Here is a 25208-nt window from a genome sequence, read left to right on the forward strand (position 1 = left end):
TATGTGGAATAAGAGTGGTGAGAGTGGGCATCCTTGTTCCAGTTTTAAGGGGGATAGTTTCACTTTTCCCCATTCAGTATGATGTCGACTGTGGGTTTGTCATCGATGACTCATCATTTTGAGATAGGTTCCCTTGATGCCTAGTTTATTGAGGATTTTTATCATAAAGGGATGTTGGATTTTATCAAATGCTTTTTCTGCATCTATAGAAGTGATCAAATGGTTTTTGTTTTACATTCTGTTAATGTGGTGAATCACATTTATTTATTTGCATATGTGGAATCATCCTTGCATCTCAGGAATAAAACTCACTTGATCATGATAAATTACCTTGTTGATGTACTGCTGGATTTGGTTAGCTCATATTTTGTTGAGGGTTTGTACATCTGTGTTCATCAGTGATGTTGGCGTAGTTTTCTTTTTTTGTTATGTTACTGCCAGATTTTGGTATCAGGATGATGCTAGTTTCACAGAGGGAGGAAACTCCTCCTTGAATTTTTACAATAGTTTCAGTAGGATTGGTACCAGCTCTTTTTTGTGTGTCTAGTAGAATTCAGCTGTGAATTTCTCTGGTTCAGGGATTTTTTTGGTTGGCCAATTTTTTATTACTGATTTGTTAGTTTTGTAACTCATTATTTGTCTGCTCATGATTTCAGTTTCTTCCTGGTTTAAGTTTGGGTGGTTGTGTGTTTCCAGGAATTTATCCATTTTTAGTTTGTGTGGATACAGGTGTTCACTGTAGTTTCTGAGGATCTTTTGTATTCCTGTGGTATCAGCTGTAATGTCATCTTTGTTATTTCTGGTTGTGCATATTTGGATCGTCTCTGTTCTTTGTTAATCTAGCTTGTGGTTTATTAATCTTGTTTGTCTTTTCATAGAACCAACTTTTGGTTTCATAGATCCTTTGTATGGTTTTTCAGTCTCAGTTTCATTTAGTTCTGCTCTGATCTTTGTTATTTCTTCTGCTAGATTTATGTTTGGTTTCTTCTTCATTTTCTAGTTGCTTTAGGTGAAATATTAGGCTGTCAATTTGAGATCTTTATGTCTTTATGATGTAGGCATTTCATGCTATAAACTTTCCTCTTAACACTGCTTTTGCTGTCTCCCAGAGGTTGTGGTATGTTGTATCTCTATTTTCATTTATTTCAAAACCTTTTTTGATTTCTCCCGTAATTTCATTTTTAACTCAAAAAAGCCATTCAGGAGCAAATTGTATATTTTCCATGTACTTGTGTGGTTTTGAGAGTTTCTTTTGGTATTGATTTCTAATTTTATTCTACTGTGGGCTGAGAAGATGCTTGTTATGATTCCAATTTTTTGAATTTAGGGAGACTTGCTTTCTGACCAAACATGTGGTAAATTGTAGAGAACGCTCCAGTAGCAGAAGAGAAAATGTATATTCTGTGGTTGTTGAGTGGAGTATTCTGTAGATGTCTATTAGAGCCATTTTGTGAAGAGTCCAATTTAAGTATAGAGTTCTTTGTTAATTTTCTAACCTCAGTGATCTGTTTAGTACTGTCACTGCTGTTTTGAAGTCTGCTACTACAATTGTATGGCTATCTCTTTCTTTTGTTAGGCATAGAAGTATTTGTTTTATAAATCATTGTGATCCTGTTTGTGTGCATATATATTTAGGATGGCTAAATCTTTTTGTTGAACTGGAAAACTTATCATTATATAATGGCCTTCCTTGTCTTTTTTTTACTGTTGTTATTTTAAAGTCTTTTTTATCTGATACAAGAATAGTAAGTGGTGCTATTTTGTTGTTTTTTATTTATATGATAGATCTTTCTCCATCCTTTCATTTTGAGACTGTGGGTGTCCATATACATGAGATGTGTCTCTTGAAGGCAGGAGGTAGGTCTTAGTTTTTTAAAACCCAATTTGCCACTCTATCTCTTTTAAGTGGAGTGCTGAGGCCATTTCCATTCAAGGTTTTTATTGGTATGTGAGGGTTTGTTCCTATCATGGTGTTTGGATTGCTTTGTAGTCTCAATTATATAGTTTGTTTATAGGATCTGTAAGCTTTGTATTTATGTGTGCTTTTATAGTAGCATTTCATTTCCATGTTTAGAACTCCTTTTAGTATTTCTTCTGGGTATGGTCTGGTGGTGATGAATTCCTTTAGTGTGTACTTGTGTGGAAAAGACTTTATTTTTTTTCATTTATGAAGCTTAGTTTGGCAGCATATGAAATTCTTGGCTGGCATTTTTTTTTTCTTTAAGAAGGGTAAAAATAGCTCCCCAGTCTCTTCTGGCTTGTAAGATTTCTGCTGAGAAGTCTGCTGTTAGTCTGATGGGATTTCCTTTATAGGTAATCTGGTTATTTTCTCTAGCTGCCTTTAAGATTTTTTCTTTTACATTTAGTTTGGATAGTCTAATGATTATGTAACTTGGGGATGGTCATCTTGTATAGTATCTCACAGATGTTTTTTGAATTTCTTCGATCTGGATGTCAACCTTTCTAGCTAGAGCAGGGAAATTTTACTGAATTATTTCCTCAAATATGTTTTTCAAGTTGCTTACTTTTGCTTTTCTTTCTCAGGAATGCCAGTAAGTCATAGGTTTTGTTACTTTACATAACTCTATATTTATGAGAGACTTTGTTTGCCTTAACTAAGTTAATTCAAAAGACTGGTCTTAAAGCTCTAAAATTCTTTCTTCTGGTTGGTCTGGTCTATTGTTAAAGCTTCCAACTCTATTTTGAAATTTCTTTAGTGAATTTTTCAATTTCAGAGGTTCTATTTGGTTTTAACATATCTATCTCATCTTTTACATCCTGAATCATTTTTCTAGGTTCTTTGTGTTAGATTTCAACTTTTTTTTGGTTTTTTTTTTTTTTTTTTCTTTGAGACAGAGTCTTGCTCTGTCGCCTCGGCTGGAGTGCAGTGGCGCCATCTCGGCTCACTGCAAGCTCCGCCTCCTGGATTCATGCCATTCTCCTGCCTCAGCCTCCTGAGTAGCTGGGACTACAGGCGCCCGCCACTACGCCCGGCTAATTTTTTGCATATTTTAGTAGAGATGGAGTTTCACCGTGTTAGCTAGGATGGTCTCAATCTCCTGACCTCGTGATCCGCCCGCCTCGGCCTCCCAAAGTGCTGGGATTACAGGCGTGAGCCACCGCGACCGGCCAAAGGTTTTTGTTTTTATTTTTATTTCTGAGATGGAGTCTCGCTCTGTGACCCAGGCTGGAGTACAGTGGCGTGATCTTGGCTCACTGCAAGCTCCACCTCCCAGGTTCATGCCGTTCTCCTGCCTCAGCCTTCCGAGTAGCTGGGACTACAGATGCCCGCCACCAGGCCCAGCTAATTTATTTTTGTATTTTTAGTAGAGACGGGGTTTCACCGTGTTAGCCAGGATGGTCTCGATATCCTGACCTCGTGATCCACCCGCCTCGGCCTCCCAAAGTTCTGGGATTACAGGCGTGAGCCACCACGCCCGGCCCTTTCTTTTGGATCTTATTTGGTTACCTTGCAATTTATATTTTGAATTCTTTGTCATTTCAGACTTTGCATTTTGCTTAGTATCCATTCCTAGAGAGCAAGAGAGCTAGTGTAATCCTTTGGAGGTGTCAAGGCATTCTGGCCTTTTTTACTGCTGTAGTTCTTGTGATGAACTCTTTTTCTCATGTGAACGTGCTGTTTCTTCTTACTTTTGAATATGCTATCATTTGGGTGAAACTTTTTAATTTTTGTGTTCTTTTTCTCTTGAGAGTATGACTGTGATGTTTGTTATTAGTGATTGTTTAGCTTCATTTCTGGGTGCTTTCAGGGGGCCAAGACTGGGTTACTTGGTTGTGGATAGCTTCTCTGTGGTGTCTTTATTGGATGCTGCTTTGTGGTAATGTATTGGATGTATGAGCTGACACACGCTGTATTATGTGGGGCTGAGGGTGCAGAGGACTCAGAAAGCTTATTTCATGGGCTAGCACTAAGCCCCTCAAGCAGCAGGCTTTTAATTTGCTTGTGCAGTTCAGGCTGCAGTCCAGTAGGTGACACTTAAGAGCAGTAGCTGGTGGGCCCTCAGGTGAGATGATGACCAGTGGAAGCACCCACGCTGATGGGGTCATTGCAAGAAGAGATTGTGCTTGGGTGCTCTGAGATACCGGGGAAATGGATAGAGAGGTGTACAAGCTCTTCATCATAACCTGACAGAAATGCTATCTGCTTTCCTATTGTGCCTGGTCATAGGGCGTATGACCTTAAGTTCATGAAGACTTTGTCCTTTGTTTCCTGGCCACAGTACAGCTGTGGGCACTGGATATGCCCTTCTGACACCTCCTGCAAAAATAGTCTTGGGGGAAGAGACACTGCTCTCATTCTAGAGCAGGCAACTCCATGGCTTGTCTGTCCTCCATTGCTGGGATACTGCCCTCTGTGTAAGGAGGGGGAGTTGAGTTGTATACACCCAGGTGGCATGGGCTCACTTTCAGTGGGGATGTGGCTACTACAAAAAGCATGAAAAAATGCTTTCTCTGAGTGCACACACACCAGCCCCCAGTGAAAAGGACTGCTGCTGCATCTGCAACAGTGGCTAAGGGAAGGGTTTGGAGATGTTCCCCTTTCCATGTCTGTTCCTGGGCATCGGTGCTGCCACCTTCACCAGCTGGAGCTGTGCTCCTATTTTCTTTGTCCCCAGAGGGGATTTGGTGAGCTGCAATCCCCTCTTCCCTAAGCATGGCCTATGCTGAGGCTTAGATCTCCAGGAGTCCCACAGCTTCCCAGGGACCTGCTGGTCCACTGTGCTTACCAAAGTCAGAGTGGGTTGTAGGGAACATTTTGGGGTGATCTGGGGGTGTGGTGACTCAAAGGCACATTCTCAAGCAGAGCAGTGGCCACCACAGCTGCACAAGCAGTATGGTACCTGTCATCTTAGTTCAGGTGTACAGGGAGTGCAGACATGCCTGTGCAATCTGGCTTCCCAGTTCTTTGTCCTCTGGAACTCCCCAAATCATTATTGATAGTGTTGCTGTGGGTCACAAGAGCAGAAGTGTTTCTCAACAGTTTGGCAGTCAGCCAACTGTTGCAGGGGTGAAGACAGCAGAGATGTTTTTCTGTCTACCCCTTCCGTGAGGCTCTGAGTTCCTCAGGGGTTCATCCCTGCCAGACTCTTGCTGCTTTCCTTTTCTGCAACCCAACTTCTTTCTGTGGGCACTCTAATGGGTCCTGGCCCACTTCCCTCAGTTTTCCATGCATAACTTGTCCATTCACCAGTAACTGTGATCTTCTTTCTGAGGAGAACTGACATCCAATGTCCCTAGTTAGACATCCTGAAAAAAAAAAAAAGAAATATATTTCCATTTATTTGTGTCTTCAATATCTTTTATCAATGCCTTGGCAAGCCAAGGCATTTTCTTTGAGGCATGGGCCGGATCCTTTTAGTTTTTGAATTTTTTCTGATGTGAATGGTGAGAAGCAATTCTTTGCTCAACTTTCTTGTTATTTCTGAATTGATAATATCACTTAAAATTCTATAGCTATAGTAATTTCTTGCATATTTTTATATCATGAACCTTTTCTAAACTGTTACATGTTTTTCCAAACCATGAATTTTAATGGTTGTAGAATTGGAAAATAAACATTTGTCCTTCTTGCCACCACTTTGGTATTTCCAGAGTCTGATTAACGGAAAAATATATTTGTTGGAATCTGCTCTAAATAGAAGATTTTTTTTCTTCAGGTTATTAACCACTATGACAATTTAAATTTTAGTATTAAATTAATTAATTCAGAACTATTAGTAAATAAAAATACATTTGACTAGATTTTAAACAAAAATCCTTTATCTATATGTAATTATTTATATATGTGTGAATATATCCAAAGAGACATAGAAAGAAAAGACTTAATATGCCTCTAAAAGTCATCTTACGATTATAAGTTAAATGCTTCTTACATGTTAGAGCTATGGGCTAATTCACTGTATAAGTCACTAATGATTGCATAACATTAGAATGACGACTTCTTTTCTTAAGCTACATGGGGGTATAGTTGATAATTTTATGTGTTATTATATTGCATACATCATTTAAAATAGCTTGCATGTAATGCAGCACAGCAACCAGTCAAACTGTTGCTATGACAACAGTATTGGTTCTTTTCTAATTAGCAGCATAGGATGCTGCTTAAATCTACTGGCATTGAGTCAAGTAGTAAGGGTATTGTCATTATCATGCTTTTTCTCAGTTCAGGACAGTTAAATATATCAATTTATAATTTTTTCATTAAATAAGAGGTCAGCTAACCATAGTCCATTGGCTAAATTTGGCCTGGTGCCTGTTTTAGTAAATAAAGTTTTATTGGAACATACCTATCACCAATGATTTACATACATAATGTCTATGACTGCTTTTGTTCTACAATGGCAGATTGAGTATTTGCAGGAGAAACCATATGGCCCCCAAACCAAAAATACTATCTGGCGTTTTACAAAAAAGTTTGCTGACCTTGCATTAAATTTTGAATTTAGTCTTGTAAAAGATCTATAATTTTGACTTACCTCATGAAATTTCTTTAGGCATCAAGACCAGTCTGGCCTACATGGAGCAACCCCATCTCTACTAAAAATGCAAAAAATTAGCTGGGTGTGGTGGCGGGTGCCTGTAATCCTAGCTACTTGGGAGGCTGAGACAGGAGAATTGCTTGAATCTGGGAGGCGGAGGTTGCAGTGAGTCAAGATCGCACCATTGCACTCCAGCCTGGGCAACAGTGCAAGGCTCTGTCTGGAAAAAAAAAAAAAAAAAAAAAAAAAAAAAAAAAAAAAAAAAAGGGACAACTAATAAATATAAATACATTCAAGAACTGATTACTTGGAAAACAAAACATTAGATAAATTATTAGTTATCCAAATAAAATAAAACAAAAAAGATTCAAAGAGTAAAGATGGTAACCTCATTAAGCATTTCTCGTGTTCCTTCCACCCTGAAATTTTATCTGCTCCTTCAGAGAACATCTGGAACTGACTAGCAGCTGGCTGCATGTGAGACCTTGGGCCATGAGAGGAATCTAACAGTCAAAGCTGGCCTACTGCTTGGGCTGAGACTAACATGGCCCCCAGGACATGTCACTGCCTGTATGACATTGAGGAGCAGTTGAACAGTAGAGCAAAGCCTGCTATGCCTGAGATTACAAAACAAGCATCTAGAGAAATAGAACAGCTGCAGGTGACAGAAAACAATTTAAGTAAAAACAAAAACAATATAAACTTTAATAAAATTCAAGCACTGTGGAAAAAAGAGCTCTCAAACTTTTAAAAATGTAATATTTTTACATTTTTGAAGCAAATTATTCAGGGGATTAGTAAAAGCAAAATGATTAACATTAAGACCTAAAATAGTGGCAGACAGGAGTAGCTCAATAATAAATAATAAAATAAGGTAAAGAATATATAATAAAGTAATAAGTAATATAACATAAAATGTGAATAATAGGGTTCCACAAATGGAAGTGCCAACAATTGGAGAAGAGACAATAATTCAAAAATTAATAGAAGAAAATTTTATTCAGATGAAGAAAGACAAATAGTCTACATTTTTCATAATAAGAGGTACCTACTTAGTGTTTTCTGGTGCTACAAGTTTCATTTGCAAAAAAGGAGAAAAGAAAATAAGAATAGTGTCTCATCTGCAACTTCAGCTGTTAGAATATATTTACAATAAATTACAGACTATTTGAAAGACAGCTAGAGCCCAACCCAAGCCAAGTTTACATTTAGCTGCCAGGAGAAAGGAAAATATTTGAGAATATTAACATATTTAAAGTGTGTATCATCCATAGAAATCATCTGAGGCAAACTACCAAGTAAATAACTAATTAAATAACAAATGAATCAAAACATGTTTCTAATCATGGGTGAAGAGGATGAGTAGAGGAAACAACTGTTAGGTGCTGAGGTTAAAAATGTATATATGTGTATAGTTATAGCTGAATGTTATAGGCTGGGAGTATAAGACCAAACAGGAACCCTTGAAATGGAGGAATATGCTGCAAGGAATACCATCATGCTATTCCAGAAAAAATAGTAAATGAAAAAGGATAAAAAAATAAAGTATTCTAAGAGTTTCATCTTATAAGGGTGTTGCGAGTAGGATGTTATGAGAGTTTTATAGGGGAAAAACAGGATCTTTTTCTTTTAAATAGTTGCTGATTATTATGCTAGGAAAAAGAAAGAAAGGGACTGATGAAAGTATAGTAACCAAACTAAACAGCATTAATAAAGGACAAAGAAAGAAAAGGAAAAAACAATTAGATAAATTAGCAATATTAAGGAAAAGAAAAACAAGAACACAATAAAGAAAAATAGAAAATAAAATATGATAGAAGAAATAGAATAATATATATTAGTCATTATGTTATATATGAATGAATTGCATTTACCCATTAAAAGATAGTGACTCAAAAAGCAGAACTGACTTTCATTACATTATTTCAAAAACATGGCTTAATAAATATACAAAATGTCTAAATCCTTAGATATTATGATTTTAAAAAAAATTTTTGCATGAATTGGTTAAAAATTGAACATGTATTGGCCTCAAAAATGCATTTTAAAGTATGGACATTTTTATAGGGCAGTTTATTTGTTCATATTCACATAAAATTAGAAATAGTTTTAATAGCTTAATCTTGATATATTAACCACCTGGTATTTAATAGTCATCATTCTAAATAATACATGAATAAAAAAGGAAATCATTTGAAAAATCATGAATGATCTAGCAAAGAAAAATAAAAATACATTACATTAGAGTCCAGCAAAAAAACCTCACAAAATATAAATACACACACGCATGCGCACACACACGCACACACACACACACACACACACAGAGCTAGGAGTGAAGTATGAGTGAATGAACTAGGAGGAAGTAGTCAATAAAGATAAAAGTAGAAATTAATAAAATAAAAAAGTATAAAGAATAGATAACTCCAATAGCTAGTTCTTTGAAAAAGCCAATAAAGTAGGTAAACCTCTTAGAAATTTGAAGGAAAAAAATGGGACAGAATAAATGAGAAAAGATACATAGCCAGAAAATTTGAAGTTATTAGAACATGAGACATTTCAACATACAAATCTATGGCAACAAATTTAAAAATAATGAAAAGCCAGTTGTCTATTAGCAGGACATAAACTAACCAAGAAATAAAGAATTGGAAATCTTGGATAAACTGCTTATTGCTGACAAGATGAGGAGATTGCTTAGTAATCTACCACTGAAAATGAAAGGAAGACCAGATGGCTTTCAGCTAACCTCTTCTAACTTTTAAGGAACAGAGAATTCCAATATTATTTGAGCTATTTAAAATCCAAGAAAAATCTGTAACTTTGCCTAATTTATTTCATAATGCTGATGTACCTTTAAAAACAAATGTTTTATTTACAGTATTGTATGGGGGATGGGACTGGTTCCAGGACCACCATGGATGCTCAGACCCAAAGATGCTATAGTCCCTTATATAAAATGATGTAGTATTTCCATATAACCTATGCGCATCCTTCCATATGCCTTACATCATCTCTAGATTACTTGGAATACTTAAGACAATGTAAATGCTATATAAGGAATTGTTATACTATATTTTTATTTGTATTTTTATTGCTGTATTGTTATTTTTAATTTAAAACTTTTTTCCAAATATTTTAAATCTGTGGTTGGTTGAATCTGTGGATGTGGAACCCAGACAAAGAGCACCGACTGTATTAAAATTAAAAAAAAATTAACCAAAACTATTCACCATTCTCTTTTTTAAGTATGGGAACAGAAAATCTAAATAAAATCTTTGTAAAAAGACTCTAGCAGTGTACCAAAGAAAGTGTTGTGAATAAGAATGTTTATTGAGGGATGCAAGGGCATTTCAATATCAGGGGATTATCAAACTAATCCATTTCATCAAAAATTAAAGAAGAAAATTGACATATTTATATCAATTTGCTGAAAATGTACTTGATAAAATTAAAGCTATTCCTAATGCAAAGGCTATGTTAAATAGGAATTATATGAAACAAATAAAATTTAATAGTACCTATCCTGCAAAATCTACAGCAGATAGTATTCTAAGTGGCAAAACATTAAAACCATTTAAATAACAGTAAGAAACTATAGAGAAATTCTTGAGGTAGTCTCTTGTTTTGGGGATTCTAGTTCATTAAGAAAAGAAAAATGATTGGTAGAGATCTTGACAAAGAAAAGTTGAAACTAAACCTTTTTGTGAATGATATATTTCATAACAAGAATACATAAAACTTCTAGTTAAAAAATAAATTAATAAAATAATTTGGTACAGTAACTGCATATAAAATAAATATACAAAATACAGATTTTCCCTATATTAGCAATAAACACTTAAAAATGGAAAGTTCATATTAGCAAAAACATAAAATAATTATGAATAAATTTTAAAATAAGGGCAGGACACGTAAAAATCAAAAAATTTAATTAAAGAGAATAAAGTAAGATTTGAGAAAATAAAGAGACATAAAAACAATTGTGCAAACAAAATATGACACTTCTTTTTGCATAGAGAAATTTAACATCATAAAATGCCAATTCTCCCATAATTAATTTACAAACTTAATTCAATTCCAAATAGAGCTCAACAGAATTTTTAAGAATTGGTTAAAATGATCTTTAAGCTCATTTAAGAGTATGCATATCTTAGGGTATCTAACAAAAAACATGAAAAAATATTTAGGGACTTGCTTTTATCAATAAAATAACAATATGTCAAATAAAACCCAGAGTGAAACAGTAGTCAAAGTGGTAAAAACAGATTTTATTTAGAAACTGTTGGAATGGGGGAAAGAGACCTCAGTATAGAACTAATTTCAATAATAAGTACAACAAGGAGGCCTGGGGATTTATAGCCAAGAAGCAGGTGGGAGGCTGTTGATGGATGAAAAATTACTAAGAGGAGACATCAAGGGCTGGGGGATTCTTGCTAAATGACTTAACAGGATTTTTGCTAAAAGCAGGCCAGATTGATCATATATCAAGGGTGGAGGGTGAGAAATTTGATTAGATATTGAGGGTAGAAAATTTTCTCTAAACTAATTAGCAGCATTCTTGCTAAAACCAGATATGCAGGCCCACCAAGGACAGAGACCAATGTTGAGGCCTATTTGAGAAGAGGACTCAGAGGAGCCCATCTAAAGTTTGCTCAAGGAGATAGACTTTGTCACATGAAAGTAATATTGTGGTACCGGAATAATAAAAGAACAAATATTTAAACAAAAATTGATATTCATATACATTTGAATGTAATATATGACAAAGGTGGTGTTTTAATTCATGAAAAAAGATAATTATTTAATAGAAAGTATTATTAATACTATACTATCTAGAATAAAATGAAATTAGACCTGTATCTTATTATACCAATACAAAAATCAATATTAAACTAAAGCAACAGAAAATGCTGCCAAAAAATCTAGGATACTATAGGTATAACTTAGGGATGAGGGAGATCTTATTCAACGCTAGAAACCCACAGCTATAAAAAGTGATAGATTCCTTTAATTACAAGTTAAAGATGCCATTATAAATCAATAAACAAATAATGGATTTGGAAAGTATATTCAAAGTGAAAAGATTAGAATGTTATTATCTATAATAAGCAAGAAACTTAAAAAGGTACAGTAAAAATATGGTGTAAAAGAACAAAAATGATACACCCGTATAGGTCACTCATGAATGTAACTTGCAGGACTGAAAGTGAGTCTTGGGCCAGAGAGTGAGTGGTGAGTGAATGGAAAGGCCTAGGGCATTACTGTATATTTTTATATTACTGGCAGTGCAGTAGGTCTGTTTACACCAGCATCATCAAAACACACGCGTAACATATTCCACTATGATGTTAAGATGGTTACGAAGTCACTAGGTGATAGGACTTTTTTAGCTCCATCATAATTTTGTGGGATTGTCATTGCCTATGCGGTCCATCACTGACCTAAATGTCATTATACGGCATATGACTGTATTGCTGTAGTGATGTTGACAGGAACAGCAAGCAAAGAAGAGACAGCTTTCTTTGTCTCCTCCAGCTTTTTAGTTTCCCTCCGGGAGACTCCTTATTGGCACATCCCTACAGGGAGCCAGCTGGCAAAGGGGAAATTGTTTTGCCCTGCCCTAGCCCCAGCATCATGTAGTAGCATGGAATGGTGGGCCTAAAGGGGAAAGACAGTATATTAATAACCAGCCAAACATTGCCAACACATTTAAAAATTGATAATGGAAGAGATGATTTTTAAGAAAAATACAGATTGCAAAAAGGTCCCCAGAAGAGAAATAAACACCAAAGAGGTCTAATGCCATTAAGAAATTAAGTTGTTATAGACCAGCTATTTTAAACACACACACACACACACACACACACACACACACACACACACACACACAGGCATCTGCAAACACAGTTCACCAACTTTGTAAAACCTTCAAAGCACACAAAATTCTGATGCTTTTTAAGCTGCTCTAAAGCATAGCAATAAAAGGATGTTCTTTTAACATACTCTTTTAATACTAAGCTCTGAGAAGTAAAGGAAAAAAGAAAATTATATGCTAATTTTATTTATGGTTATTAATATATCTAGTGTCTTAAAATACATACCTGAATAATTAGAGTGAATTGTCTAGAAAATAAAATAACTTTTGTCTGTGTTATCTACACTTCAAATGTAAAATGAGTATGTTCTATTCTCTCTTTTTTTTTGCTGAGTGAATATAAACACAGTTATAAATGTGTACTAATAATGGGCTATGTACATTTGGGTTGAATTAATTTACTATCAGATATAAGGTGGCTCTCAAATCCGGCTGCACATTAGCTTCACCTGGAGAGCTTCAAAAAATTCTGATCCCCAGCTGCATCGCAGACCAATTAAATCAGAAAACTCTCCAGGTGGGACTCAGGCCTCAGTATTTGTAAAACTCTCCAGTTGAATACAATGAAAGCCAAGCTGTCAATTACTGAACATGATAACATAGTAGCATAATTTTAAATTTAAAAAGTTTAGTGACTACCAGCTTGATATTAGCAAATGAGTTTCTAAGTCAAAATATTTTGCAGAATAGACATCTAATATTTAAACAAATTTAAATTATTTTTCCAGCGTAGGGAACTGTTAATAGCTGAAAACTTCAGGGAGCCATAGAAGTCATATTCACTACCCTATGAAGTCTGCAGCACTCAAAAATATTTTATTATTGAAATGCAACATTATTTCCAAAGTTTGAGTTAATTTTAATAAAATATAATTGCTCATTAAGCAGTATAAATGAGCATTCAAAGTATTTATTATATTTTAAAAAGTTTATAGGATGATTAAGATTAGAAAGTGTAAATATAATATTGGTATGTGTGATGGTTAATTTTATGTCACTTTACTAGGCCACAGTACCCAGATATTTTATCAAATACCAGTCTACATGTTGCTGTAAAGGTATTTTTTAGGTGAGATTGATATTTAAACCAGTAGATCTTGAGTAAAACATATTGCCTTCCATAACGTGAAGAAGTGTCATCTAATCAGTAGAAGGTCTTAAGAAAAAATGTTGCCTTAAAAAAGAGGGAATTGTGGCTCCAGGTTGCTTTGTTTTTTTTGTTGTTTGTTTGTTTGTTTGTTTTTTTGAGACGGAGTCTAGCTCTGTTGCCCAGGCTGGAGTGCAGTGGCGTGATCTCGGCTCACTGAAATCTCTGCCTCCCAGGTTCAAGGGATTCTCCTGCCTCAGCCTTCTGAGTAGCTTGGATTACAGATGTTCACCCCACGCCTGGCTAATTTTTGTATTTTTAGTAGAGAGGGTGTTTTGCCATGTTAGCCAGGTTGGTCTCAAACTCCTGACCTCAGGTGATCCACCTGCCTCGGCCTCCCAAAGTGCTGGGAACCGCGCTGGGCCTCCAGGTTGCTTTTGAGCTTGAACTTTGACAACTTTTTTCTGGGTCTCCAGCTTGGCGCAGTATACTTAAATGGGGCACAATTGAGGGGTATGAAAAATCATTTAATTCTCATTTTTAACCTTACTTGTGTCATTAATGTTTTCTAATATAATTGCAAATTAAAAATTTAAACATTTCCCTTAGCTGTTGTCAAAAAGATAGTGTCCTCAGCAACTCAGGATGTTTGTTCTTTTAGAGGACACATTGGGACCAATTCCCAAAGTGGCTTTTTTTTTTTTTTTTCAACAAATCTAGCTCCTGGTTGGGAAGAGCTTGTACCTCTGAGATTTGTCCAGAGGGGGATTTTCAAAGTTTCACATAAATATTTTGATTCATTTTGGGAAAAGAATTGGGATCATGAGATTGCTTAAGTTTATTTTGCTTTCTTAAAATTTGTTTTTATTTTTCATATTTTTGTTTTTATTGTTTCATTCTTATGGGACCTCCAATTATTTCTCCACTGTGTCTAGTCTTATAAGGAATACAAAAATATTGCCAATTAAGGTAATTACTCTGTTGTTTACATGAGACAATAAATGGATGAAACAATTTGCATGAGAATACGAAGTAGAGAACTGAAGATTCTTTGAGCTAAATTTGTTCTTTAACCTTGGGATCCTCTGGATGAGAGTTTTGATGTCTTTGATTAATCACTTGTGCAATTACCTCCGTTACTCAGTCCAAATTTATTGCTTCTGTGGGCAATGTTTCTTCAAATTGTTGGACCACACCCTCAAAAACATTCTACTTCATCCCATCTAACTCCTTTTAGGCAGTATGCCTCACAAGTTGAGAATCTTCTTGGTTGGTAAAGAGAGAAAGAATATGAAATCAAGATAAATCCAGGAAATTTTTTCAAGCTTTATTTCTTTTTGGTTGTATTAAGGAAAGAAAATAAATCCTCTTCAGATGGACAAATATTGGGGTTCCTATCATTTCCTGGAGTCTAGCACATATAAAGTTTAAGATTAGAAAGGTATTTTTAAACAATTCGTCATGCTAGGGAAGGCAATGAATTCTTTCAGCATATGAATTAAGATGAAAAATATTTGCTAGCAGCAGAGTGATCTTTGCTGTAAAAGATTTAATCCTCTGAGGCCAGACTAGGGTGGTTTTGTCCCCTTCTCTTCTCCATCTTTACGACATTAAGGTTTCCCTCTCTCTCTTTATCTCATCTCGTATTCAGCTGCAATGCCTAGGAGAAGAAAGTAAAAGGCCTACAAAGCACTCCCTGGAGGCCTTATATCAGAGGAGGTGGAATACTACAGGAAGAGGGAAGTGCCTAATGGAATTGAGCGCTAGGAAGGGGAGTGGAGAGGAAAGAGATCTTGGAGAACAACTCTGCAGAGAGATTGGGATTTTGAGGTGTGCTTCCAGGGTCCTAAACCACCTGTGGGTATTTATTCACAATGCAGGTTCCTAGGCCTTAACTCTAGGCCTTATAAAGCTAGATTTCTGAGGAGGAATTTTAGAAATCTACAGTTTCTGCATATAGCTAGCCAGTTATCCCAGCACCATTTATTGAACAGGGAGTCTTTTCCCTGTTGCTAGTTTTCGTCAGGTTTGTTGAAGATCAGATAGTTGTAGGTGCATGGTCTTATTTCTTGGTGCTCTATTCTGTTCCAGTGGTTTATGTGCCTGTTTTTGTATCAGTGGTACCATGCTGTTTTGGTTACTTTAGCCCTGTAGTACAGTTCGAAGTCAGGTAATGTGATGCCTCCAGCTTTGTTATTTTTGCTTTTGATTTCCTTGGCTATTCGGGTTCTTTTTTGGTTCCATATAAATTTTAAGATAGTTTTCTCTAGTTCTGTGAAGAATGTCATTGATTGATAGGAATAGCATTGGATCTGTACATTGCTTTGGGCACTATGGCCATTTTAATGATATTGATTCTTCCTATCCATGAGCATGGAATGCTTTCCATTTGTTTGTGTCTTCTCAGATTTTGATGAGCAGTGTTCTGTAATTCTCATTGTAGAGATCATTCACCTCCCTGATTAGCTGTATTCCTAGGTATTTTATTTTTCTGTGGCAATTGTGAATGAGATTGCTTTCCTGATTCCTTGGCTGTTACTAGTATATAGGAATGCTGGTGATTTTTGTACATTAATTTTGTATCCTGAAACTTTGCTGCAGTTGTTTATCAGCTGGGGAAGCTTTTGGGGAAAGAATATGTGGTTTTCTAGATATAGAATCATGTCAACTGCAAACAGAGATCATTTGAATTCCTCTCTTCCTATTTGGATGCCCTTTATTTCTTTCTCTTGCCTGATTGCTCTGGCTAGGACCTCCAATGCTATGTTGAGTAGAGGTGGTGAGAGAGGTCATCCTTGTCTTGTGCTGGGTTTCAAGGGGAATGCTTCCAGCTTTTGCCTATTCAGTATGATGTTGCCTATGGGTTTGTCATAGATTGCTTTTATTATTTTGAGGTACTTCCTTTAATACCTAGTTTATTGAAAGTTTTTAACATAAAGGGATGTTGAATTTTATAGAAAGCGTGCTTTGCATTTATTGAGATAATCATGTAGGTTTTTGTCTTTAGTTCTGTTTATGTGATGAATCACATTTATTAATTTGTATATGTTGAATCAACCTTGCATCCCAGGGATGAAGCCTACTTAATCATGGTGGAGTAGCTTTTTGATGTGCTTCTGGATTTGGTTTGCCAGTATTTTATTGAGGATTTTCACATTGAGATTCATCAGTGATATTGGCTTGAAGTTTTCTTTTTTTTTGTTGTGTCTCTGCCAGGTTTTGGTATCAGGATGATGCTGGCTTCATAAAAGGAGGGGGAGTCCCTCCTTTTCAGTTCTTTTGGAATAGTTTCAGTAGGAATGATACCAGCTCTTCTTTGTACATTTGGTAGAATTTGGCTGTGAATCCATCAAGTCCTGTGCTTTTTTTTGTTGGTAGGCTATAAGCTGGACCCCTTAATTACACAATATAAAAAAATCAACTCAAGATGTTTTAAAGACTTAAATGTAAAACCCAAAACTGTAAAAACCCTGGAAGACAATGTAGGCAATACCATTCTGGACATAGGAAAGGGCAAGGATTTCATGACCAAGACACCAAAAGCAATTACAACAAAAACAAAAATTGACAAATGGCATCTAATTAAACTTAAGAGCTCTGCACAGCAAAATAAACTATTAACAGAGTAAAAAAACAACCTACAGAATGGTTGCAAACTGTGCATCTGACAAAGGTCTACTATCTGTATTTATGTGGCATTTAAACACATTTATAACAGAAAAATAAGCCCATTTAAAAGTGGGGAAAAGGCATTAACAGACACTTTTCAGAAGAAGACTTACCTGTGACCAAGAAACATATGAAAAAAGGCTCAATATCACTGATCATTAGAGAAATGTGAACCAAAACCACAATGAGACACCATGTCACATGCCAGTCAGCATTGCTATTGTTAAAAAGTCAAAAAATAACAGATGCTGGTGAGGTTGTGGAGAAACAGGAACACTTATACACTGTTGGTGGGAGTGTAAATTAGTTTGACCATTGTGAAAAGCAGCCTGGTGATTCCTCAAAGAGCTAAAAGCAGAACTCTCATTTAACCCAGCCATCCCATTACTGGGTACATACCCAGAGGAATATAAAGCATTCTACCACAAATACACAACGCATGTTCACTCCAGCACTATTCACAATAGTAAATACGTGGAATCAACCTAAATGCCTATCAGTGACAAATTGGATAAAGAAAATGTGATACATATACACCATGGAATACTACTGATGTAGGATTTTTCTTCTCAGTCATTTTGCAAGCTGGGGACTTCTGGCCAGTGACACCCCACCTGGGCCTCATTAGGCTATGCTACTGTGCCCTAGCTCACCTGTGTTATAGCTTGTACTCATGTTTGGCAGTTCCTGAGCTCTTGTATCTTGCCCAAGAAGAATGGGCATATGCTGGACATTGAAGGATGAGGAAAGCGGAGAAGAATTTTATTGATTGATGAAACAGCTTTCCGCAGAGTGGGGACGTGAAAATGGTCAACCAACCCGAAAGTGGGAAAGTCCCCTGGTGTGACTGGGTCCAGGATCTTTTATGGACTCAGAATAGGGAGTGCATGCTGATTGGTTTGTGAGTATGCAAAAAAGGGTAAAGCAAAGACAGCACTCAAAGGTGGGCATGACAGTGTAGAAAATCAATTAGGAAAGGGTAGGTGTATGTAAAATGGGTGAAGGTTGGGGATCAGTCAGAGGAAAGCATGCCAAACGGAAAGACAAGTTCTCAATCTGGTCTGAAGATTTAACTTGTGGCTTGAGTTTCAGGCTTTAAACTGTTTTCGGCTTTGAGGTGGGATTTCACTGGGGACCCGCCCTTAACCTGCCTAGGCATTTGGCTGCCTCCTAACACTCTCACTATGCAACTGCCAAAAAGAATGAGGACATGTCTTTTGTGAAAACATGGAGCAAGCTGGAGGCTATTGTCCTTAGCAAACTGACGCAGGAACAGAAAACAAAATACTGCATCTTCTTACTTATATGTAGGAGCTAAATGATGAGAACTCATGAACACAAAGAATGAAACAGACATTGGGGTCTACTTGAGGTTGGAGGTGAGAGTAGGGAGAGAAGCAGAAAAAATAACACTTGACACTAGGCTTAATAGCTGGGTTATGAGATCATCTGTACAACAAACCCCCATGACAAGAGTTTACATACATAACAAACCTTCACATGTATTCTGGGACCTAAAGTAAAAGTTAAAAATAAAAGAAATCCAGATTTTATGCAGGTGTTAAGAAATATTAAAGAAATATTGCTCCATGGTTAAAATAAGACAGATGCAGTATGAATTGATTAAACTAAATAAATTACTCTTGACTTTGCTACCTTGAAGACTCTGTCTCCTTGTAGTCAAAATTACATGTAATGTTTCCTTGGTTTCATGTATGTGTATGGTTAGCTAAAAAGACCTATTAGTATGCTTCATGTATGCTCTCTGTGTATGTGTGTGTGTGTGTGTGTGTGTGTGTGTGTGTGTGTGTGTGTGTGTGTGTACTAATAGCCCTCTCTTCTATAGTATGCGGGATATTAGGAAGATAACTTCTAGTTAGGTAACAGCTGAATCTTCATGGCCTAAAAGCCAAAGGAGACTTCATATATCTCCAGCATTATTTGTAGATTTTATTTATTTTTGAATGTTATATTGTAATCTTACTTCCCCTGATGGAAGTAAGTAATGGATGGCAATAACTTTTCATTTCTTCTCCACAAATTGTTTGCATTATGTACTTCTCAACCTTAATCCTAATGCCAAACTTTTTTGGCAAATAAAATAATTTGCTTCAAAATATTTAAATCCTTTCCCCACAAATTGCTTGCATTTTGTGTATCTCAACTTTAATGCTAATGCTCACTTTTTCTGCAAATAAAATTAAAAATTTACTCTGAAATATTTTAACATTTTGCTCTAACTTGTCTTCACCATGACCGATATCATTTCTTAGTCATCAGTAGCCAAAAATCTATCTACAGAACGTTTGAAAGTGTTTTCAGAAGCATACCATAAACATAATTTCTTCTCAATTTTTGTAAATAACCATTTCCTTTGAATAAAAATATCTACTTATTGTTGATCAGTTGAAAAATTCTGAAAAGTTAAAGAAGTAAATTAAAGTTACCTGTAAATACATTGCTAATAGAATTTTAATATGTATTTATTTTTATATGTGTAGCATATATATTACTCACACAAAATTGTCTGTATTCATCAAACATAGATAGTGGGGTTATACCATACTTTTGAAAAAGTATTGAGTCTTTTCAATGATCAGTTCATGGATATTTTTACATGCCATTTAAAATCATTGTAAGATATGTATTATAACTGCATAATATTCCATCATGTAGATTTTTACCATGCCACTAAAGTGTAAATTAGTAATACTGTCAGTATTGTAACATTTTAAAAGTCTGGTAGATGGTCAGCTCAAAGGCATCCTCCAGGCCCTATCCATTAAGGCTCTATCCATCATCATGACTCCTGATTTCAATTGATTTGAAGTGTTTGCTAGTCACAGTGATCTGTGGGAGACAAAGGCAACAAAACAATCTTATCTCTAGGGCAAAATTTCTCAGCCTTGGCACTACTGACATTAACAATTCTTTTAAAAAATTGTCACATAAGAATTGTACATATTTATGAAGCACAACGTGGTTTGTTTTTCTGATACAGGTATACCTTGTGTGATGATGAAATCAGGGTAACTAGCACACATATCATACAGTTATTTCTTTGTGGTGAAAACATTCAGATAATGTCCTTAGTAAGCTTTTTGGCTGGATAAGTCTTTATTGTGGGGGCTGTTATGTGCATTGTTGGATATTTACCAGCATCCCTGGCCTCTACCTATATGATGCCATTAGCATCTCCTATTCCCCACCCAGGTGTGACAATAAAAACTGTTTCTAGACATTGTCGATGTTTCCTGGGCAGAGTAAAGGGGAATCACACTGGATGAAGAACCACTATTCAAAAGCAATTGGTCTTTAACTGTCTGTACTCATAAACCCATGCAAGTGGTATAAATGAGGTTCTCTCTCAGGTGGGATCTTGAGAGACAAAACAAAAACATGGGGAACCACTGTTAACAAGATTAAAGTCGTGTTTATGAGATATACTTGAGCAGTTCATTACTCTTTATGTTCATAATTACATTTTAGCTCATTCCACTTTATTGTGAATAACTGTGAAAAGTTTGAGGGAGGTAGATAATTGAGGAGGGATTCAGGTCAATCATCTTATTTGAAAACAAAATTCAAAGCATGCGTTTGCCTCATGGTGATGAGCATTGTTATTTACTAAAAACAGAGTTAATGAGCTTTTTTAAAATCGCAGATACTCTTTCTCTTGGTCTAGATCTTTATTCCCCCTTTTTTCTCATGAAACTGTATGTATTATAACTTAAAATGACCAACAGTCACAGTTGAAATTCAGGTTGCTGTGTATAGTCATGCATGTTATGTACTGTACATCCAGGAGCTGCTTGTCATTCAAAACAGTTCTGATGTTATTGTGTTTGCTGGAGTTGGGGGGACAACCTGCTGCAGTCTTGGGACATTTATCTAATTGTACTCCCTCTTCTACTGATAACTGCTGAAACTAAAATTCAGTGTTCGGCCAGGCACGGTGGCTCACACCTGTAATCCTAGCACTTTGGGAGGCCGAGGCTGGTGGATAACTAGGTCAGCAGATCGAGAATATCCTGGGTAACATGGTGAAACTCTGTCTCTACTAAAAATACAAAAAATTAGCCAGCCGTGGTGGCACGCGCCTGTAGTTCCAGCTACTCAGGAGGCTGAGGGGGAGAATCGCTTGAACCTGGAGGCGGAGGTTGCAGTGAGCCAAGATCATGCCACTGCACTCCAGCCTGGGCAACAGAGAGAGACTCCGTCTCAAAAATGAAGGGGAGAGAGAGAGAGAGAGACAGGGAGAGAGGGAGGGAGGGAGGGAGAGGGAGAGGGAGGGAGGGAGAGAGAGAGAGAGGGAGAAATTCAGTGTTCTAAAATTCAATGATTTCTACTCTGTGACTATGCAAAAACATCTGCTTATTAACACTAACTGAAACGGCCTCTCACATTTTAGGGTGTAATTTGTTCACATATCTCATAGGATTGTGATTAGTTTAGAAACTGTTTCCCTGTACAAGGATATATTTCTTTCCTCAGCCCTTTTCTGCCTATAAAGCCAACTTTCTCCACTAAGCTCATTGGAACCCTCATTCTATTTTGTGACTCTGGAATTGCAATTAAAAGCCAATTAGACCTTTCAACTATATTTGCTGTATTTGTGTCTTTTGACAGTTCCAAGTCACTACTTGCTATTCTTTTGGCAACAGTGTAAATTTTCTGTTAAGAATCTACCAGACATTGCCTCTTCTCTACATATGCTTGAGTAGGGCTCCTCCATGACTCAGGAGTAAAGCATGGTACCTGGCCCTAAAATAATCATTGCATTATATTTCCCTGGCTTCAATGGTAGGTTAAGGATAGACATGGAAGTCAATCGAAATCATCAGGAAACAACGAGACTTCTGCTACTTCTATTCTTTCTAAAAAGGGGAAGACAGACACAAAACTACAGGGCATTTGCCAGGAACTTCGGACAGTAGAATGCAGGTGGTAAAGAGATAAATTTTAAGGATAATGATTCACTGTAGATATCAGAAATTGTTAGATACATCCACTTTCTCCCACTCCTATTACCTCAATTTATTATGCTCCCACTGTGTATATGGTGTAGCACTAACATTTGTATGTATTAGATGATTAACTGAAAGATAAAAATCTTTTCAATAAGGAAATTTTTTCAAACAAGGATATTGAATTTCATTCTGGTATGTGAAGTGAAATGGAAAGTGAAAAATGTAAATATAGAATGGCAGTGGTTTAATTTGATATAGCTTGACATTATTGGGAAACATTATTTGTGCTCATGTTTTTTTCTTCACTGTGAGAATTGAACATACACATAATTCTTACTGGTTTGTACTTTTAATCAAATGGGTGATGGGGAGGATAGAGTTTGAAGGAAGTTCCATGATTATCAATGGTTAGCAAGAGGGCACCGAAGGTGAAATAGACTTGAGTACATCTAAAGATGCCAGGAATCTGAGAACTAAGCTTAACTGACAGTATTGCCTATCCAGCTATTTGGATGATTATGTTTGCCATACATATTGATGTGGTTTGGATTTGTGTCCTTGCCCAAATCTTGTGCTGAATTGTAATTCTCAGTGTTGGGAGTGGGCCCTGGTGGGAGGTGATTGGATCATGGTGGCATGTTTTCCCCTTTGGTGCTGTTCTCATGATAGAGTTGTCACAGATCTGGTTGTTTAAAAGTGTGTGGTACTGCCCCCTCAGACCTCCTGCTCTGGTCATGTAAGATGTGCCTGCTTCCCCTTTGTCTTCTGCCGTGATTGTAATTTTCCTGAGGCTTCCCCAGAAGCACAAGCTGCAACACTTCCTTTACAGCCTATAGAACCGTGAGCCAATTAAATCTCTTTCCTTTGTAAGTTACCCAGTCCCAGGTATTTCTTTAAGGCAATGCAAAAATGGACTAATACATATATATAGTAGACTTGTAAACAATATAGTTGAGTAATAACAAAAAAACTTGAAAAACTTAATTTTTCTGATTGAATGTCAATATAACAATACTTCCATAATAATACTTGGTTTAATTGTGTCATGTCAATGAAATCTGTTTATTATGAGGTAAAACTATGGCTCCTGATCACAGGACATGCTATAGTATAAAAAGCACATGAATCTGGAATCTTCTTTCCCAATCTTAATTCCATTAATGATATACTATATCACCATAGTCACTTATTTCCTCATTTGCTTGTAAGATGTAGATAAAAATTTCAAGCATTTTTATGAGAAGAAAATGTTTGCAAAGTTGGTCAAGAAATATGAGCTACATAGAATTATTAAGTATTTTATGTCAGTAAAAGAAACGAAGTGATCAGTTGTGAGATTCTCTAAATAAATTTTTCTATACATTACGTTTTTTGAAAATTTGGTAGAGTGATTAGAGAAACTCAATATTTTTAAAGATTTCTCAGCCCCCCAAAAGGAAAATGGACCATTTGTTTTACATCACCCATTTGTTTCAGAGTGGAAACAGCTGAAGCATCATGCAGCCAAAGAATCATGTCATAATTCTGAAAACTACCCTGCATACTATTCCAAATAAGAAATAGTCATTTAATCATAGAATCTTAATTCTGAGAAACATTTTTTAGGCCACTAAAAAAAGTTTTATAAATGAGGAAACAGAAGATAAAAGGCTTACTGACTTATAGTTTTCTCAGATACTTCTGATTTCCAATTTTAGTTTTATTCACTGTGAAAAGTAAATAAACTGTGTTCTAAATTCATTGTACACCAAGATTTAAGGGTGTTTGGGCTCAATTTTTGGGCAGTTGAAGAAAGTGCTCAGAATTTGGTGATATCCCATAATAATTTTGAATATACATATACTGTATATGATTTTTGAGCAGTAATATTTCCAAAATTTCACCACTGTAGCTTTCAGGCCATCATATCATCAATGGTCTGTCAACCTGGTACCACAACTTAAATGAAAGATACTTGAAATTGTTGTAGCATTTTTTCTGTGGACGACTGAAATCTAGCAAATTAATGAGACAAAACGGCTACATTTCAGGGCATTATGCTTGTGTCACCAAGACCTGATTCTCATTTTAAAAGAATATGCATTACAATGAGAAACCAAATGTTTTATAGTGATGGTATCAGTTAGGGTTCAGTTGCAGATGTCAGGAATCATGTTTGCCAGTTTAAGTAGAAAGACAGTAAACTTTTCATTGTTTAAAGATTATGGGTGAATAGTTCCAATAAGACCTGAGTATTTGAAAATATAGTGATGTAGAGGAGAATTAAAAGACATAGAGGAAGGAAGAAAATAAGGGAAGGTATAAAGGAGAAAAGAAAGGAGGGAAGGATGTAGGATATGTTGGTATCCCTGCCAGATCCTTTTTATTGGATGAGGAAGCCATCCTCCAGCTGTGCAAGTGTTAAGCTAACTCTGGAGAATTGTCCTTGGCTGACCCGATTCTCATGGGCTAATTCTTGTGAGGTTATATGCCTCCCTGGGGCAGCCAATGAGTGACTTTACAAGGTACAAAGGCCCAGCCCTCTTGCTTCCAGGTGACGCAACTCTGTCAGTGTGATTTCCACTCTGGACTAGACTTTCCCTGAGGCCACATGGTTGCCAGCTCTTTCTCCTTTCCTCTCCTTCCCATCTTCTCATATAGGTTTTTCCTAAAGAGTACTTCCACACAAAATCATATGTGCCTTAAACCCTGTCTCAGTCCCTGCTTCTAGGGAAGCCTACTTAAGAGAAAGGAAAAAAGAAATAGAAACAGAAAGCAAACAAACCTTGTCATCCGGCCTTGAGAGACATTTATGATACCATTAAACCCAGGAAAATTATATTACGTGCCTTTGTCTTCCACTGTAATTTACTAGAGAACCTAGTCTCTTCCCAACCATTCTTTAAAATTTTTCACTGAAAACTCAATATGAGCACCCACTTGTAGCAAATATATTGAGATCAATTCTACTGCCAAATGCAGATTTCTCATGAAACTCACACAGAAGGAACCAGAAAAGGAACAAACTTGATTTCTTTGTTGAAGCATATTGATTTCATTTGAAGGGATTAGTGTTAGAATGAATAGAGGTTATTCTTACTTTATCCAGTGGATCTGAATAAATA

At 36.2% G+C, this 25208-nt stretch overlaps 1 long non-coding RNA gene across 3 annotated transcripts in view, besides 1 other annotated feature; it reads left to right on the forward strand.

Annotated features, from left to right (window-relative positions):
- Positions 1–25208, forward strand: part of CALCRL-AS1 (CALCRL and TFPI antisense RNA 1) — a 544253-nt gene that overhangs the window by 47419 nt on the left and 471626 nt on the right. The window lies entirely within an intron of this gene.
- Positions 4871–5165: a silencer, noted in NCBI's record as "tiled region #13129; K562 Repressive DNase matched - State 9:DNaseU". NCBI's record gives its function as "represses a minimal TATA promoter and a strong SV40 promoter by Sharpr-MPRA in K562 cells {active_cell/tissue: K562}" and the evidence as "EXISTENCE:reporter gene assay evidence [ECO:0000049][PMID:27701403]".

This window comes from Homo sapiens, chromosome 2, assembly GCF_000001405.40.
Source record: "Homo sapiens chromosome 2, GRCh38.p14 Primary Assembly".
Lineage (NCBI taxonomy): Eukaryota > Metazoa > Chordata > Mammalia > Primates > Hominidae > Homo > Homo sapiens.